The 20,252-nt window shown below is 38.0% G+C and overlaps 2 annotated features.

Moving 5' to 3' along the window:
• Positions 7,352–7,949: an enhancer, noted in NCBI's record as "NANOG-H3K27ac-H3K4me1 hESC enhancer chr5:89368757-89369354 (GRCh37/hg19 assembly coordinates)". NCBI's record gives its function as "activates a minimal SCP1, AML or CMV promoter by ChIP-STARR-seq in primed H9 embryonic stem cells {active_cell/tissue: H9 hESC(primed)}" and the evidence as "EXISTENCE:reporter gene assay evidence [ECO:0000049][PMID:30033119]".
• Positions 7,950–8,545: an enhancer, noted in NCBI's record as "NANOG-H3K27ac-H3K4me1 hESC enhancer chr5:89369355-89369950 (GRCh37/hg19 assembly coordinates)". NCBI's record gives its function as "activates a minimal SCP1, AML or CMV promoter by ChIP-STARR-seq in naive H9 embryonic stem cells {active_cell/tissue: H9 hESC(naive)}" and the evidence as "EXISTENCE:reporter gene assay evidence [ECO:0000049][PMID:30033119]".

Genomic DNA, 20,252 nt, shown 5'->3' on the forward strand with positions numbered 1-20,252 from the left:
TCAATTCTATCCAGTAAAAACATTAAAGAATATAACTGGGGCTGTGAGCCAATCTCACAAATGGCAATTGAAATAGTAAAGGTAATAGATTTTGATAAGTATATTAAATGAAAACCATCAATAATGTTCATAAAAAATGTAAAGTGACATTAATAAATAAATATCTGTTTCATATTATTAAGGTCAATTGAGGAAAAAATCTAATTGTGGTAAATATATAAATAAGTATTTTGGCAAAAAGCATTTGAAATTTGAATGATAATAAAATGAGGAAAAGTCTATGACTCAAGGAAAGTTTTAATATTCTAGAACCTTACAGCATCACAAAAAAAGCATTTGTTTATGTATTAGTTTGCTATTGCTGCTGTAACAAAATACTACAAACTTACTAGGTTCAAACTACACAAATTTATTACCATATTTCTGTAGGCCAGAAGTCTGACACAGGTCTCACTGAGCTAAAAGCCAGGTATTGGCAGGGTTGCATTTATTCTGGATGCTCTAGGGGACAATATGTTTTCTTGCTTTTCCAGCTTCCAGTGGCTGGCTGTATTCCTTGGTTCATCGCCCACTTCCTTCAAATTCAAAGCCAGTAATTGCAGTTTGAGTGCTTCTCACATTATATTATCCTGTCCTCCTCTTTTTCCTCCCTCTTCCATTTTTAAAGACCCTGGTATTTATGTTATTCCCACCCAAACAATCCAGGATAATCTCCCTAATATAAAGTCAGCTGATCAGCAGCCTTAATACCACTTCAATTTTAACTCCCTTTTGCCAAGTAATGTACCACGTTCACATTTCACAGGAATTTGGACACAGAAATATTTGGGATTCATTATTCTGCCTATCACAGTATAATACAAGTATATCAATGAGAAGGCATTTAGAGAAACTCGTGGCATATATTGAAGGCCACATTACAAATAAAAAGAAAGTAACTATGAAGAAATTTCAGCATGAAACTTTACTGAAATTAATAATACTTCAAAAGAGTTACATCATATCTGTACTAAACATCTAGGATATTTTAAGTCTGTTTTTTTGTTTATTCAATCTCCATAACTTTGTAGATAATATCCATCAATGTTTATAAAACCTGGAATATTTTTTAATAATGTTATTTTTGAATAACTTTTGCTCTAGCATAAATGATCTAAACACACACCCATGCACACACATACACACACAACAATCATAGAGAAAGAGAGAAGAATTAGTGAACAAATTTGGAATAATATGCATTTTTAATATGAAATGCATTTTCACCTACCCATTGTAAAAATCATTTTATAGCTAGTACTCAGTGCTGTAGGGAATACAAAGAAATTATCTCTCTCCTACCCTGGTGGTGGAACTGTTAGTTTCAGCATTCTTTCTGTAAAGAATTCAGCAATAGAAACTTTCAAAATCTCTGGGTTTTTTTGCTCTAAAAATCCCATTTAAAGAAAAATCTATCCTACGTATGAAACAGAAATGTGAAAAAAATTCATTACAGTGAAATAAAAGATCAAGAATTGGAAATGACATAAATTATGGCATATCTATGCAAGGGAACACTATACAGTCATCAAAATTAGGTTTCTAAAATTTTTAGTTTTATGATAAAATATGATAAGTAAAAGTCTTGCAAGTCATATTATATACGCATTATGATTTCAACTACATGAAAATACACATGTATGGGCAAATGACTGAAACAAAATATTATGTGGTAGCTTCTAAGTGATGTAATTTTGAGAATTTTTTATCCTCTTTTCCTAATTTTCAAATGGGCTTATACTTTCAGAAATGTATACTTTTTAGAAACAGTACTATGCATTTGAATTAATAAGCCATGTTTTCATACAAATATTTGATCATCTCCTTCTGGCATTTTCTTCTCTTCCCTGCCCTCTAATCAAGCACAGAGTAACTGATTGGAGTTAAGGCTTTGTTTTACAAATCAAACAAATTAAATGAAAAAGGTAAAAGTTGTATCTCTACCCATTTCTCTTTTAATTTGTGAACTAACTTCTTTAAAGTACTAGTAACTACAATCCAATGCCATTTTGGATTTCCTTACATCAGTTTCAAACAGATTCTGTTTTCCAGGAATCCCCTACCTTATTCTCTAGCTAGACAGTAAAAGTAACATTTTCAGAAAAACAAAATTTTTAACTCTGCAAGTCAGTTTTTTAAATTTCAGATTTATTGAACTATTATAGCATCCTGTGATATCTGACATATAAAAATTTAAAAGGAAGAGTAAAAGAAAAATAGAAGAAAAGTAAATGTTTGCCTCTTTGTTCATTAAAAAAGTAATAAAATAACAAAATGTCTTTTATTGTCAAGCTTAAATAAAAACCAAAGGCCAACATTCAAAATCATCTTAGCTAATTTGTTTTTCACACCTTATACATATATATTTGTGTATATACATACACATACTGTTATTTTCAAACAAGAAGTAAACATAGTCTATTATCAGAAAATCAGTTTAGGAATCCAACATATTCTCCTTTACTACATGCCCTTTGATAATCAGTTTTCTCCCACTTAAAAAGAAATGGTGTACCTGCCTTCATTCATTTAAGGTCTCACCTTGGTGCACTGTCCTGATGTATAAATTTCCATGGTGCCTATCAAAGGACAACTTGAAATATTGATATTTATAAAGACTTCTTAAATTGAGACACCATAAATGTGTGATAGGGTTTGCATCTTTCCTTGCATTTATTATACCCATTTCCATCAAAGGCTAAGAGTGGAATTCTAGACAGGACAACTTGGCCCATACTGGAATGTTTTGAATTTAGATATACTGTGGAGAAGGGTAGCAGGAATGAAGACCATTTCTATTCATTGCTCCACTTTGTCCCTCCTCTGCGTACTGACATTGCTCCTGAGAGAGAGTCCTCAGAGGGATTAGGCACAAAATATTGAAGGTGCAGCCACTTTACTCAGTCTAAGTGACAAACTTATTTTAAGATGCAATCCCTGATTCATCCATCAGAATCATTTCTGGTTATCATGGGAAAATATATCAATTTTTTAAATTTCAATCGAAAAATGAAATCAGACATTTTGTGACAGAAAGCAAGTCTGTTTTGTCCAATTTGTTTGACAACGAGAATTGAATTTTTCAGCCAGGTTATAAGGTGAACATTTTTCATGAATTGAAAGATTTAAGTCTACAATTAAACATTTTGATGGAAATATATATACGTTTTACTTTTTATAAAAAATATGTATTGACACAGATGTATTGAAATAAGTGATATTTTTATTTTACCAACTCTTTCTGAGTATACTGAGTTAAATAAGGCACCTTTACATGAAAAAGTATCAGGAAAAACCGTCACTTGACAAGCCTTGGGAAAGCCTTTATGGTGCTTAGAAAGTCAATGGCTAATGACTGGGTTAAATCTTTTGGCAAGTCAGATGACTTCTAAGTTTTTATTTCTAATGAAATTGAAGGCTATTCTAATCTAACTGACTGTTTAAATATAATCTTACTACTATCTCACTGTGTGATTTTTAAAATAAGACCGCAAAAGAACTGAAAATAGCAACATTCTTCTAAAAAGTAAGATTTATTTCAATCTACTTATTTATGTTAAAAATATTTATCTGTATTTTTCAACTATAAAAAACAACCAAAAAAAAAAGAAATAAAATTGGGTGGACATAGTGGCAAACGCCTATAATCCCAGCACTTTGGGAGGCCAAGATGAGCAGATCACTTGAGGCTAGAAGTTCAAGACCAGCCTGGCCAACATGGCGAAACCTCATCTCTACTAAAGATACAAAAAATTAGCCTGGCATGGTGGCACATACCTGTAATCCCAGCTACTCAGGAGGCTGAGGCAGGAGAATCACTTGGCCCGGGAGACAGAGGTTGCAGTGAGCCAAAATCACTCCTTGCACTCCAGCCTGGGTAACAGAGGAAGACCCTGTCTCTAAATAAATAAATAAATAAATAAAAATACATGAAATATGTGTCTTACATATAATAAATATACAGTAAATATATTTAATATATATTTATATTTAGTATATATTTATAAAATAAATTTATTATTTTAAAATATTATATATATCCCCACAAATACATTTATATATATTGCTCATATGTGTGTGTATATGTGTGTGTATATATCAATATCTATATATATCTATATCTATATATGTATATATATCTATATATATCTATATCTATCTATCTATATATATAATCTATATATATAGATTATATATATTCCTCTTTCTCCACAAATACATCATGGCTTTCAAAACAAAAAAAATCCTTTAAGGATCTAGAACTAGAAATACCATTTGACCAAGCAATCCCATTACTGGGTATATACCCAAAGGATTATAAATCATTCTACTACAAAGACACATGCACACATATGTTTATTGTGGCACTATTCACAATAGCAAAGACTTGGAACCAACCCAAATGCCCATCAATGTTAGACAGGATAAAGAAAATGAGGCACATAGACACCATGGAATACTATGCAGTCATAAAAAGAAATGAGATCATGTCCTTTGCAGGGACATGGATGAAGCTGGTAACCATCATTCTCAGCAAACTATCACAAGAACAGAAAACCAAACACCGCATGTTCTCACTCATAAGTGGGAGTTGAACAATGAGAACACATGGACATAGGGAGGGGAACATCACACACCAGGGCCTGTCGGGGCTAGGGGAGGGATAGCATTAGGAGAAATACCTAATGTAGGTGACGGGCTGATGGGTGCAGCAAACCACCATGCCACGTGCATACCTATTTAACAAAACTGCATGTTCTGCTCATGTATCCCAAAACTTAAAGTATAATTTAAAAATTTTTAAAATCCTTTAAATGTTTTTCAAAATTTATAATATTTGCATATTAGTTTGATCAATTATGTACTACTAATATAATTTTTATCATAATTAAAACCTGACAAAAATTTTAACATAGTTTTATGATTATGGGAAATAGAGATTTTAATTTCAATTAATACATTTTTGTTGCATATAATTAAGATAAGCTATACAATAAAATATTTTCAAGCAATAAAGTGTATTATATTAGGTTAAATCTGACGGAGAAAAATGGATGACAGTATGAGTTCAAGAAAAATAACTGCCAACTATTAAGACATATTGTTCAGATTTTTTAAATGGTTGATGGTGGGTTTGATATCACTGTGGTATTTAGATTCCATTTGGATTCCATTGTTCCCTTTCTGTTGTATAGTTTTAGTTTACAATGGCAATATTTACAATAAACTGGAAACTATATCCTTTGCAACTCTTTAAAATAAGAAGGAACAATTTAGGCAGCAGCTTAACATTGTGTAAAGGTATATACAGAGATCACAGGAGAAAAAAGTTAGGGCCACATTAAAACTTTGTGTGTCTCCTTCATTTTGAATAAACAGAAGGGCAGTCACCCAGAAAAGATGTCTAACCAGATCCTTCATTTAGGCAAAGATTTCTACAGATTGTTGCAGTAAAGACTAAATAACATTTCCATCTATGACCATAAGTTGGATGTAACAAGGAAGGAGAGCTTTAAGCCAATTTTAAGTGAAAGAAGGGGAAAAAAAAAGATTTCCCTGAAGACTGCTAACCAGAAATAGTTTAATGGCTAAAAGTTTGCTCCTACCACATGATTTATGATATGCCTAGACAAACCAAATAAACCAGAGTTCAACAAGCACAGTTCCTTTGACTGATGCAATCCTTTTGACAGACTATTTGGATATCCCCATATGGTAACTTGAATGGTTGGAAGATGACTATGGTTAATACAGCTAAATTACCGAAAATGGTGGGTTAATTTGGGGCCACACTTAAGCCAGGGCACATAGCATACCTGTGAAATATCCAGGTGTGCATGAGTTGGTCTGATACCACTGAGAAAAGTAGAAGACTATCTTCTTCTTCTTCTTTGGTTTTTTTGTTTATTTGTTTGTTTGTTTGTTTGTTTTGAGATGGAATTTCACTATGTTGCCCAGGAATGCAGTGGCACAATCTCAGCTCACTGCAACCTCCACCTCTGGGGTTCAAGTGATTCTCCTGCCTCAGCCTCCCAAGCAGCTGGGATTACAGGCCCCCGCCACCATGCCTGGCTAATTTTTTGTATTTTTAGTAGACATGGGGTGTCACCATGTGAGGCAGGCTGGTCTTGAACTCCTGACCTCAGATGATCCACCCTCCTTGGCCTCCCAAAGTGCTGGGATTACAAGCATGAGCCACCCCACCCTGGCCTTCTTCTTTTAAATGACTTGAGCACTCCTCTTTTGACAGTGACTAAACGTAAGTGTTTTAAAAGGCTTGTTCATGCATTTGATTTCTTCTTTCTTTTATGTTGTACTGAGATATGTACAAATTGCACAAATCTTAATTGTAGACCTTGAATAAATTTTGAAATGCATATGCATATGGAACTTCCATACAGATAAAAATGTAGAATATTACTAATGCCAGAGAAGCCTCTTCTTGCACGCTCCCAGTCATTTTCAATCTTCTCTACCCCACCAAAGGTAGGCACTATTCTTCTAGGTAAGTTTAACCTACTTTTTGAACTTCATAGAACAGAATTATATAATAGATGCTCCTTTATGTCTGAAGATTGAAAAAACAAGTCAAATGATATGAGGGTAAATTGGCAATACATATATCCGACAAGGAACTTGTACCCAGGATATAGAAATAAAAATCAATAAGAAAAAGACAAAAAATCCAATTTAAAAACAGGAAAAAGACTTGAACAGGCTCATTGCTAAAGAGAACAGTCAAATGATATTTCATGCATCTTGACTATCCTCCTTTTAAGTCCTGATAGTAAAATGTTGCTGAGTTACTCAGGGTGTGAAAACAATCTGCTGTAGAAACCTTAGTTTTAAGGCAATTGTAGCTTTCATGTGAGGAAGAAGGAAGGAATTTAGCTACTGTAAGCATATATGCATCGAAAGCTGTGAAATCAGAGCTTGGCCTAAAATATAAAAAACATACACACACATTTATGAAAGAGGAAATTATATTAACTTTAAGAATTCTTCTACTGACCCAGAAATTTTGAAATTTAAATTATTTTTTAAATTGGCTGAAATCAAGTCTTGGAAAATTAGTGATGAATAAAGAGATTGAGTAACACACATTTCCTTAAAGGAAATAGAAGTGATAAATATCAAGTTATAAGAAAGCACTGTCAAATTTAAAATACATACAAAAATAAGAAAAACATATATTTGACAACATAGGAAGAGGTTAAGGGATATGATTAGTTAATACAATGATGAACAGTTTCAAAGGCCAAAAAAGTCACTTCCTATTCCTGGCATCCCTTTTTCTTTCTTCCTTTCTTCCCTCTTTCTCTTCTTTTCTTCCTTCCCTCCTTTCTATGCTCTTTATTGCTAAATGCTCTGCTACCTTTGATCTTGATTTTTCCTCATACTTCATTTACAATAACACATCCATTCTGATAGTGATAAGAAAGAATGCAGATTTTAATCTCAAAAGATTGTTTATTCAAATTAGCTAACATGTTTTTCACATATTCATAAAACATCTGTTGAACATCTATGCTGAAGGCACTGTGTAAGTAAAATGGAAAGCAAGATAAATAAAGCCTCTGACCTTAAGAAATAAAGAGTCCAGGGGAGGAGCCAAGATGGCCGAATTGGAACAGCTCCGGTCTACAGCTCCCAGCGTGAACGACGCAGAAGAAGGGTGATTTCTGCATTTCCATCTGAGGTACCGGGTTCATCTCACTAGGGAGTGCCAGACAGTGGGCACAGGTCAGTGGGTACACGCACCGTGCGCGAGCCGAAGCAGGGCGAGGCATTGCCTCACTTGGGAAGCGCAAGGGGTCAGGGAGTTCCCTTTCCGAGTCAAAGAAAGGGGTGACGGACGCATCTGGAAAATCGGGTCACTCCCACCCGAATACTGTGCTTTTCCAACCGGCTTAAAAAACAGCGCCCCACGAGACTATATCCCGCACCTGGCTCGGAGGGTCCTACGCCCACGGAGTCTCGCTGATTGCTAGCACAGCAGTCTGAGATCAAACTGCAAGGCGGCAGCGAGGCTGGGGGAGGGGCGCCCGCCATTGCCCAGGCTTCATTAGGTAAACAAAGCAGCCTGGAAGCTCAAACTGGGTGGAGCCCACCACAGCTCAAGGAGGCCTGCCTGCCTCTGTAGGCTCCACCTCTGGGGGCAGGGCACACACAAAAAGACAGCAGTAACCTCTGCAGACTTAAATGTCCCTGTCTGAAAGCTTTGAAGAGAGATCTCCCAGCACACAGCTGGAGATCTGAGAACGGGCAGACTGCCTCCTCAAGTGGGTCCCTGACCCCTGACCCCCGAGCAGCCTAACTGGGAGGCACTCCCCAGCAGGGGCACACTGACACCTCACACGGCACGGTATTCCAACAGACCTGCAGCTGAGGGTCCTGTCTGTTAGAAGGAAAACTAACAAACAGAAAGGACATCCACACCAAAAACCCATCTGTACATCACCATCATCAAAGACCAAAAGTAGATAAATCCACAAAGATGGGGAAAAAACAGAACAGAAAAACTGGAAACTCTAAAAAGCAGAGCGCCTCTCCTCCTCCAAAGGAACGCAGTTCCTCACCAGCAACGGAACAAAGCTGGATGGAGAATGACTTTGACAAGGTGAGAGAAGAAGGCTTCAGACGATCAAATTACTCTGAACTACAGGAGGACATTCAGACCAAAGGCAAAGAAGTTGAAAACTTTGAAAAAAATTTAGAAGAATGTATAACTAGAATAACCAATACAGAGAAGTGCTTAAAGGAGCTGATGGAGCTGAAAACCAAGGCTCGAGAACTACATGAAGAATGCAGAAGCCTCAGGAGCCTATGTGATCAACTGGAAGAAAGGGTATCAGCAATGGAAGATGAAATGAATGAAAAGAAGTGAGAAGGGAAGTTTAGAGAAAAAAGAATAGAAAGAAATGAGCAAAGCCTCCAAGAAATATGGGACTATGTGAAAAGACCAAATATACGTCTGATTGGTGTACCTGAAAGTGATGGGGAGAATGGAACCAAGTTGGAAAACACTCTGCAGGATATTATCCAGGAGAACTTCCCCAATCTAGCAAGGCAGGCCAACTTTCAGATTCAGGAAATACAGAGAACACCACAAAGATACTCCTCGAGAAGAGCAACTCCAAGACACATAATTTTCAGATTCACCAAAGTAGAAATGAAGGAAAAAATATTAAGGGCAGCCAGAGATAAAGGTCGGGTTACCCTCAAAGGGAAGCCCATCAGACTAACAGCTGATCTCTCAGCAGAAACCCTACAAGCCAGAAGAGAGTGGGGGCCAATATTCAACATTCTTAAAGAACAGAATTTTCGACCCAGAATTTCATATCCAGCCAAACTAAGCTTCATAAGTGAAGGAGAAATAAAATACTTTACAGACAAGCAAATGCTGAGAAATTTTGTCACCACCAGGCCTGCCCTAAAAGAGCTCCTGAAGGAAGCGCTAAACATGGAAAGGAACAACTGGTACCAGCCGCTGCAAAATCATGCCAAAATGTAAAGACCATCAAGACTAGGAAGAAACTGCATCAACTAACGAGCAAAATAACCAGCTAACATCATAATGACAGGATCAAATTCACACATAACAATATTAACTTTAAATGTAAATGGACTAAATGCTCCAATTAAAAGACACAGACTGGCAAATTGGACAAAGAGTCAAGACCCATCAGTGTGCTGTATTCAGGAAACCCATCTCACGTGCAGAGACACACATAGGCTCAAAATAAAAGGATGGAGGAAGATCTACCAAGCAAATGGAAAACAAAAAAAGGCAGGGGTTGCAATCCTAGTCTCTGATAAAACAGACTTTAAACCAACAAAGATCAAAAGAGACAAAGAAGGCCATTACATAATGGTAAAGGGATCAATTCAACAAGAAGAACTAACTATCCTAAATATATATGCACCCAATACAGGAGCACCCAGATTCATAAAGCAAGTCCTGAGTGACCTACAAAGAGACTTAGACTCCCACACATTAATAATGGGAGACTTTAACACCCCACTGTCAACATTAGACAGATCAACGAGACAGAAAGTCAACAAGGATACCCAGGAATTGAACTCAGCTCTGCACCAAGCGGACCTAATAGACATCTACAGAACTCTCCACCCCAAATCAACAGAATATACATTTTTTTCAGCACCACACCACACCTATTCCAAAATTGACCACATACTTGGAAGTAAAGCTCTCCTCAGCAAATGTAAAAGAACAGAGATTGTAACAAACTATCTCTCAGACCACAGTGCAATCAAACTAGAACTCAGGATTAAGAATCTCACTCAAAACCGCTCAACTACATGGAAACTGAACAACCTGCTCCTGAATGACTACTGGGTACATAACGAAATGAAGGCAGAAATAAAGATGTTCTTTGAAACCAACGAGAACAAAGACACAACATACCAGAATCTCTGGGACGCATCAAAGCAGTGTGTAGAGGGAAATTTATAGCACTAAATGCCCACAGGAGAAAGCAGGAAAGATCCAAAATTGACACGCTAACATCACAATTAAAAGAACTAGAAAAGCAAGAGCAAACACATTCAAAAGCTAGCAGAAGGCAAGAAATAACTAAAATCAGAACAGAACTGAAGGAAATAGAGACACAAAAAACCCTTCAAAAAATTAATGAATCCAGGAGCTGGTTTTTTGAAAGGATCAACAAAATTGATAGACCGCTAGCAAGACTAATAAAGAAGAAAAGAGAGAAGAATCAAATAGACACAATAAAAAATGATAAAGGGGATATCACCACTGATCCCACAGAAATACAAACTACCATCAGAGAATACTACAAACACCTCTACGCAAATAAACTAGAAAATCTAGCAGAAATGGATAAATTCTTCGACACATACACTCTCCCAAGACTAAACCAGGAAGAAGTTGAATCTCTGAATAGACCAATAACAGGATCTGAAATTGTGGCAATAATCAATAGTTTACCAACCAAAAAGAGTCCAGGACCAGATGGATTCACAGCCGAATTCTACCAGAGGTACAAGGAGGAACTGATACCATTCCTTCTGAAACTACTCCAATCAATAGAAAAAGAGAGAATCCTCCCTAACTCATTTTATGAGGCCAGCATCATTCTGATACCAAAGCCAGGCAGAGACACAACCAAAAAAGAGAATTTTAGACCAATATCCTTGATGAACATTGATGCAAAAATCCTCAATAAAATACTGGCAAAACGAATCCAGCAGCACATCAAAAAGCTTATCCACCATGATCAAGTGGGCTACATCCCTGGGGTGCAAGGCTGGTTCAATATACACAAATCAATAAATGTAATCCAGCATATAAACAGAGCCAAAGACAAAAACCACATGATTATCTCAATAGATGCAGAAAAAGCCTTTGACAAAATTCAACAACCCTTCATGCTAAAAACTCTCAATAAATTAGGTGTTGATGGGACGTATTTCAAAGTAATAAGAGCTATCTATGACAAACCCACAGCCAATATCATACTGAATGGGCAAAAACTGGAAGCATTCCCTTTGAAAACTGGCACAAGACAGGGATGCCCTCTCTCACCACTCCTATTCAACATAGTGTTGGAAGTTCTGGCCAGGGCAATTAGGCAGGAGAAGGAAATAAAGGGTATTCAATTAGGAAAAGAGGAGGTCAAATTGTCCCTGTTTGCAGATGACATGATTGTATATCTAGAAAACCCCATTGTCTCAGCCCAAAATCTCCTTAAGCTGATAAGCAACTTCAGCAAAGTCTCAGGATACAAAATCAATGTGCAAAAATCACAAGCATTCTTATACACCAACAACAGACAGAGAGCCAAATCATGAGTGAACTCCCATTCACAATTGCTTCAAAGAGAATAAAATACCTAGGAATCCAACTTACAAGGGATGTGAAGGACCTCTTCAAGGAGAACTACAAACCACTGCTCAAGGAAATAAAAGAGGATACAAACAAATGGAAGAACATTCCATGCTCATGGGTAGGAAGAATCAATATCGTGAAAATGGCCATACTGCCCAAGGTAATTTACAGATTCAATGCCATCCCCATCAAGCTACCAATGCCTTTCTTCACAGAATTGGGAAAAACTACTTTAAAGTTCATATGGAATCAAAAAAGAGCCCGCATCACCAAGTCAATCCTAAGCCAAAAGAACAAAGCTGGAGGCATCACACTACCTGACTTTAAACTATACTACAAGGCTACAGTAACCAAAACAGCATGGTACTGGTACCAAAACAGAGACATATGGAACAGAACAGAGCCCTCAGAAATAACGCCGCATATCTACAACTATCTGATCTTTGACAAACCTGAGAAAAACAAGCAATGGGGAAAGGATTCCCTATTTAATAAATGGTGCTGGGAAAACTGGCTAGCCATATGTAGAAAGCTGAAACTGGATCCCTTCCTTACACCTTATACAAAAATTAATTCAAGATGGATTAAAGACTTAAACATTAGACCTAAAACTGTAAAAACCCTAGAAGAAAACCTAGGCATTACCATTCAGGACATAGGCATGGGCAAGGACTTCATGTCTAAAACACCAAAAGCAATGGCAACAAAAGACAAAATTGACAAATGGGATCTAATTAAACTAAAGAGCTTCTGCACAGCAAAAGAAACTACCATCAGAGTGAACAGGCAACCTACAAAATGGGAGAAAATTTTCACAACCTACTTATCTGACAAACAGCTAATATCCAGAATCTACAATGAACTCCAACAAATTTACAAGAAAAAAACAAACAACCCCATCAAAAAGTGGGCGAAGGACACGAACAGACACTTCTCAAAAGAAGACATTTATGCAGCCAAAAAACACATGAAAAAATGCTCATCATCACTGGCCATCAGAGAAATGCAAATCAAAACCACAATGAGATACCATCTCACACCAGTTAGAATGGCAATCATTCAAAAGTCAGGAAACAACAGGTGTTGGAGAGGATGTGGAGAAATAGGAACACTTTTACACTGTTGGTGGGACTGTAAACTAGTTCAACCATTGTGGAAGTCAGTGTGGTGATTCCTCAGGGATCTAGAACTAGAAATACCATTTGACCCAGCCAACCCATTACTGGGTATATACCCAAAGGACTATAAATCATGCTGCTATAAAGACACATGCACACGTATGTTTATTGCGGCATTATTCACAATAGCAAAGACTTGGAACCAACCCAAATGCCCAACAATGATAGACTGGATTAAGAAAATGTGGCACATATACACCATGGAATACTATGCAGCCATAAAAAATGATGAGTTCATGTCCTTTGTAGGGACATGGATGAAATTGGAAACCATCATTCTCAGTAAACTATCGCAAGAACAAAAAACCAAACACCGCATATTCTCACTCATAGGTGGGAATTGAACAATGAGATCACATGGACACAGGAAGGGGAATATCACACTCTGGGGACTGTGGTGGGGTGGGGGAGGGGGGAGGGATAGCATTGGGAGATATACCTAATGCTAGATGACGAGTTAGTGGGTGCAGCGCACCAGCATGGCACATGTATACATATGTAACTAACCTGCACAATGTGCACATGTACCCTAAAACTTAAAGTATAATAAAAAAAAGAAGAAGACAATTTATTTATCTGTTCCAATGATGGGCATCTAGGTTGTTTCCAGTTTCTAATATTGTAAATTTATTGCAGTGAATGTCCTGATACTGTTTTTTTGCTCCACTGTGTAAGAGTTTTTCTATAATAAACAGCAGGGGAGAAAGTGGGAAGGGAAAAAAAAAAAAGAAATAAAGAGTCCAGTAGTCGAAAAAGTCATGTGGGAAAATGTCATAATTCATTGTAAATAGTAGTATTGGTTACACTAGAAATAAAATCACTGATATTTGTACTTGACCTGGGGAAAGGGTGGATAAAGTGATTAAAAATGAGAAGGTGATACTTGACTGGTTTAATATCTTATATGAGTAGTGTTGTACACCTGAAGCAAAACTTGGACAAATGTCTTGGGAATGTCTTTCCTGATGATTTTCTTTCCCATGCCTCCCTAATCATGGAAGTCAGCCTTTAGTCCAAAGATAAGGGTATATAAAAAAGCTCTATGGCAGTAATTTGCTAGATGAGAACAGAGAATTATTGCTATTTTCTAATTCTACTCTGACCTTGGTATTCTAGAACTGAATAACTCTTTCTAAACTTGTACCACATTCCACAAGTTGTTGGATTTTTCTGACCCTGAATCCTAATATCCCACTAACTTCATTCCTGATACCTACATGTAAACTATCCTCATGTAGCATTTTTAATGCTTAGATCACCATCCATCATCTTTCTTTCATTCTTGCTTCTGCTTGCCACATCCTGAACTCTGGTTAGTCCTTGGTTAAGAATACCTTCATCCATTTGGGTCTGTTTGTTTCTTTGTATTTTAACCCTGGAAAGACTTCCTGGTTTCAGATAGTCTTTCTGGTTTCATAGTCCATCTGCCCTTCCCCAAAATAACAAAGAGATGTCTTATCTTGCTTCCTCCTGGTCTTCACCTATCTCTAAAACACCTTCACTCTCTAGATCCCAGGTTTTCCTAGGCTGGCTGGTCTTACAGCTGTGGAAGTTCCATGCACCACAAGGAGACAGCAGAAAGAGATTTTCTTTTAAGTAAATGTAATTAATCCAAATCAGGATATCACTTTTTAAATCTTTGTATGTACCATTTGTATGTATTTCATGAATTTCCTTTATGCTTTTATAATACACTGAGTCGTATCCTGGAGTCATTTTCTCAAAGTCTGGTTTACCTGCATCTGAGTATCCTAAGGGTACTTGAAGATTCCTAGACTCCACTGCAACCCACGGAATGAGAAACTCTGGGCCTGAGGCTTACATATCAGAATTTTTCTTAACAAACTCCAAAGGTAATTCTTATACACTCCAAAGTCTACAAACAACTGAAATAGAACAACTTTATGAACAGACTGACCATCAACAAATTTCAGTATTTACTTTTGCCTACTCTTTGATTGGAATTATGGGAGAAATTTAAGGGACTGTCAGAAACAAGATTTTTTGAACTGATTGCTAGGGGAGGTTGAGGTGGGAAGATGATGAGTTCAGCTTTGGACAGGAAGAAATTCACATGAGACCGCTGGAAATAAGAGGTTGAAGGGGAAGTGAAAGATCTGTAAATTATCAAAGGCTCTGTGGAACTGAACAATGTAACAGTCAATATTTCTTACTTGTTTTCCTATTTCAATTCTTTAATAAACCCAGATTTTAATATTATTGGTGCCCATCTCTTAGCTAGTCATAGGAAAACCAAGTTAATAAGAAAAAAATGCTACCCAATATTCTTTCATGGTAGGTATCGGTGACTATTTGTCAAATACATGCTCAAAAATTTACACAAGTCTGAAAATTTTGGCAAACTTAGAGGCTGGCTACAACATGCCAACAGCTACTTCTTCATTCCTGTCTCCCCTAGTTTGACTTAAAGTTTTCTGCTAGCTCCTACTGTGAACTCAGGTGTTTCATCAGGGACAAATTATTATTAAAACAGTTTTACAACCATTATTGATTTATATATCTGTCTCCCAATACATCAGCTTTCAATTGCTGCTGTAACAAATTACCACAAACTTAGTGGGCTAAAACAACACAAATTTATTATTACCAAGTCCAACATGGTCCTCACTGGGCTAAAGTCAAGGTGTTGGAAAAGCCACAGTCCTCCCTGGAGGCTCTAGGAAAGAAGCACTTCCATGCTTTTTCCAGATTTTAAAGGATACCTGATTTCCTTGGCTCATGGCCTCTTTATTCTGTTTTCAAGGCCAACAATGTCACTTCTCATTCTGTCTGCTGGGAAAGGTTGTCAGCCTTTAAGGAATCATGTGATTGGGTTGGACCCATTCAAATAATCCAGAATAATCTTCCAATCTCAAAGTCCTTAACATCAATCACAAATGCAAGGTCTTTTTGCCATGTAAAGAAAGAAACACAATTACAAATTTTAGGGGTTAGTACAGTTTGGAGCAGCCATGATTCTGCTTACCATACCCTACAAAACCATGTACCTCTTAAGAGAAAGGAACATGCCTTTCTATCTTCATTTTTGCAATGTTCAATATGATGGAAGCTTGATAATGTTTGTTAAATGTTGTTGAGTGAACATGAGTTAGAGGTCGATGGTGACATTTATACCTTTCTGTAGAAAGGAGCAATATTCACAAACTAAAATGCCTCAAAGATGTCATAAAGATAATGTACACTTTTAAGGGACGTTTTAACTACTAGTAGTTATTACCTACTCAAATTATTCTTACTAAAGGTGAAATTAAATGAAATAAAAGAAGAAACAGTCTTCTTGAAAAGTTAGTAAACTCTTGAGAGGTTATTTTATACATTCTTCAATTTTTTTGTACTCTGCTAGACTACCTGCTCATACAATTTGTATATCCCTTATCTTGCCTATATAGCACACTAAGTGTGGCAGATTCTTTGGAAAAATAGATGCAATAATTCTTCCATGCTTATAATATGCATATTCCTTTGCAATGCAACTTTGCCATTCATTGCTCCCATTAGAAAATCTAGTGGAGTCTATTTCCGTACACTTCAGGTCTCGTCTTAGATATATGATTTGCTTTAGCCAATGGGACATCAGCAAATATAAAGCAGAGCTTGAACAGTGCTTGCTGATTAGGGCTGGCCTTCCCTTGTGTGGTGAACCTCTCTGATACCTTATAAAGAAGCACAGGATAGCCTCAATGAGAGTTAAGAGGCCATATGGGAAGAGGCTCCAGATGTCCCAGCTAAAGTACCAGATATGTAACAAAACCATTCTAGACCATCCAGGTTAACCCAAACCAGCCCAGATGAGACACACTGACTTACCAATCCACAGAATTGTGAGATTAAAAAAATGTAAGTGTAATGTTTTAAGCCACTAAACTTTGAGGTGGTTTGTTAAACAGCAAAAACTGATAGATCCAAAAATTCCTTTCACAGAAACTGTGCAGTAAGGGTCAACACATTCTACCTCCCATCTGCTCAGTGAAGAACAAACTTACTGTATAGTCCTTGGCATCTGGTGTAAATTTATCTTATTCACTTTTCTCATTTTTTACAGTAATTCTCTTAAGTCTCATCAGTGATTTTCTCCTGAAGGAGTCCAGACCATTTTTTAAATTTTGTTTACTACACTTTAACTACATTAATCCCTAGTTTGCCATTACTGCATGTAATTTTTTATAACAGGAGCAAAGCTTTCAATGAAGTCCTTTCTATAAGAGCCCCCCAATTGAGAAGTGCCTAAATCCCCATTAGGGGAATAGCTAAATAAATTATGGAATTTGATGGAATAATATTCAGCCACTGAAAATTATGGTTTTTGAAAATATTTAGGAACAATGAAAACACTTATACTGTAATATAAAGTGAAAAGAGTAGGATTCAAAATTATGAATATAGCTATTCATATATCCATACAAAGAATGAAGGACATACATTGGGATTTTAACAGTAGCTATCTCTAGATAATGATATTTAAATGATTACTTGCTGGCTTCTAAAATGGTTTTCTTGCCAATCTTATACAATACATATTTATTATTTTTATAAACAGGAAAAAATTGTGTAAATCATAGTCTCACTTTATCCCATGTTTCTCCAAATTAATCTTTAAAATTTATTTTGTAAATTACATGAATCAATATTTAAAAGTAACAAGTAAATCTTCTTTCAGCCTCTAGAGTTTAAACTGAAACCTCAAGGCTTTTTTCAAGAAAGTATCTAATATGGACACTATAGTAGGTAAAAAATTTAAAACCAAATGAAATATAAATGAAGAAATATTGAGAGATACTACAGCCTCAACCATACAGGTGCATTCACTCTGTTTTTAGAAATGACAATCAGGACTATTGGGAAAATGGCAGATAGGAGACAGGACTGATGTGCAGCTCCTACTTGGACAGACAGAAAAGCGTCTAGAGACTCACATTCTGAACTTTTGCTCCAAGAACCACTTCAGGAACATACCAGGAAAACCAAAAGAATTCACAGACCCTTTGAAAGAAGCAGCTTGCCACTGCAAACACAGTGAGACAGCTAAAAAACTGTGAGTTCCCGGCTGGGCACGGTGGCTCATGCCTGTAATCCCAGCATTTTGGGAGGCCGAGGCAGGCTGATCACGAGGTCAGGAGATCAAGATCATCCTGGCTAACATGGTGAAACCCCATCTCTACTAAAAATACAAAAAATTAGCCGGGCGTGGTGGCGGGCACCTGTAGTCCTAGCTACTGGAGAGGCTGAGGCAGGAGGATGGCGTGAACCCAGGAGGTGGAGCTTGCAGTGAGCTGAGATGGCACCACTGCACTCCAGCCTGGGTGACAGAGTGAGACTCTGTCAAAAAAAAAAAAAAATGTGAGTTCCCAAAGTGTGACAGGGGGGAAAAGTCACCTCCTAACACACATCCTCACTGAGTAACCTGAAAATCCAGATGACGGGAGGAGGATTTAACCTTACTTAGAGCTGAAACAGATTTAGGGAGTTGAGTGAAATGTAGAAGCAGCAGCAGGAAGAGCCCTGTAGGCAATCCCAGTCCACAGCTCGAGTTCAGGGAAGCCATTCCTGGCCTTATCTCACAGAGGTCCTTGGGGAAATTCCAGAAGGCAGGTAGTGGAGTAGGGGAGGGGCCAGAGAGTGAAGGAAGCTCCTAGCTGAACTCTGTAATAATTTCGACTGAGCACAAATTTTCCTGAAGAGAATCCCGGGGTGTGAACGAGAAGTGCAGATATGAATGCAGAAGCTGCAGCAGTAGGTGCAGGCAGACAGGGAGGGTCCAGGCCTGAGATCCCTGCTTTCTTTCTCAGCAGGGAGGCTTGTAGCCTGGGGCAAGATCTCAGCTGGCTGGCTGCCTGAATATAAACTCAGTGAGCCTGGGGGTGACATGGTGGGAGTGAGACTGTCCCAGCTGGCAATGTGGGAGCTGGGTAAGGCCTGTCACTGCTGGCTTTCCCCTACTTCCCTGTTGACCAGTATGATGCAGCAGATGCAGCCATAATCCCCCTGGAAACATAACTCCAGTGGCCTGAAATCCACTGCTGCCAACCCCTGCAGTGGCTGCAGCAAGCCCTGCCCAAGAAGAGTCTGAGCCCAGACCAGCCTAACCCTTCCCCTACCTGATAGTTTTTCAATACCTGCCCTGGTAGCTGAAGACAAAAGACATAAACTCTTGGGAAACCAATGGCCCCACCCATCTCCTGAGAAACCCAAGTATGCATCCCAGCCAACATAAGGCAAGATTATATCCTCCTCTACTACCACAACTGGTAATTTCTTGAAAGCACCACCTCCTGCTGGAGGCCAACCAACTCAAGCCACTACAGTAACTCACAACAGAATAACCATGCTCCAAAAGGGAGAAAACAACACCAAATTCAACCACCTGCAACACACTGGCTAGCCAGAGGTCCTGAGTCTGTCCACATGACAACTTTACTGCTTGCATAACCAGCATTTGAGGAAACCAGCACACAAAGCAAAACTACAACCAAAGACCCCCACAGAGTCCACTTCACTCCCCTGCCACCTCCACTGAGCAGGTGCTGGTATCCACAGCTGGTAGACCGGAAGATGGATCACAGAACTCTTTATAGACATTTCCTAGCACCCGCATATAGCCTGGTAACCCTGCTGGGTGGCTAGACCCAAAAGGGCAATAACAACCACAGCAATCTGGCTCTTAGGAAGCCCCATCCTTAGGGGAATGGGAATAATACCACATCATTGATCCTGTGGGACAAAAGAATCTGAGCAGAAGCCCTTGATTTTAAGATCTTTCCACTGAAACAGTCTACCCAAATCTGAAGGGACCAGAAAAGTAGTTCTGGTAATATTACAGAGTTCTATAACACCCCCCAAAAATCACACTAGATCTCCAACAATAGATCCAAACCAAGGAGAAATCTCTGAATTGCCAGAGAAGGAATTCAGAAGGTTGATTATTAAGCTACTCAAGGAGGCAACAAAGAAAGGTGAAAACAACTTAGAAATTTTTTTTTTTTTTTTTTTTTTTGAGATGGAGTCTCGCTCTGTCGCCCAGGCCAGACTGCGGACTGCAGTGGCGCAATCTCGGCTCACTGCAAGCTCCGCTTCCCGGGTTCACGCCATTCTCCTGCCTCAGCCTCCCGAGTAGCTGGGACTACAGGCGCCCGCCACCGCGCCCG

This window comes from Homo sapiens, chromosome 5 (genome assembly GCF_000001405.40).
Source record: "Homo sapiens chromosome 5, GRCh38.p14 Primary Assembly".
NCBI lineage: Eukaryota > Metazoa > Chordata > Mammalia > Primates > Hominidae > Homo > Homo sapiens.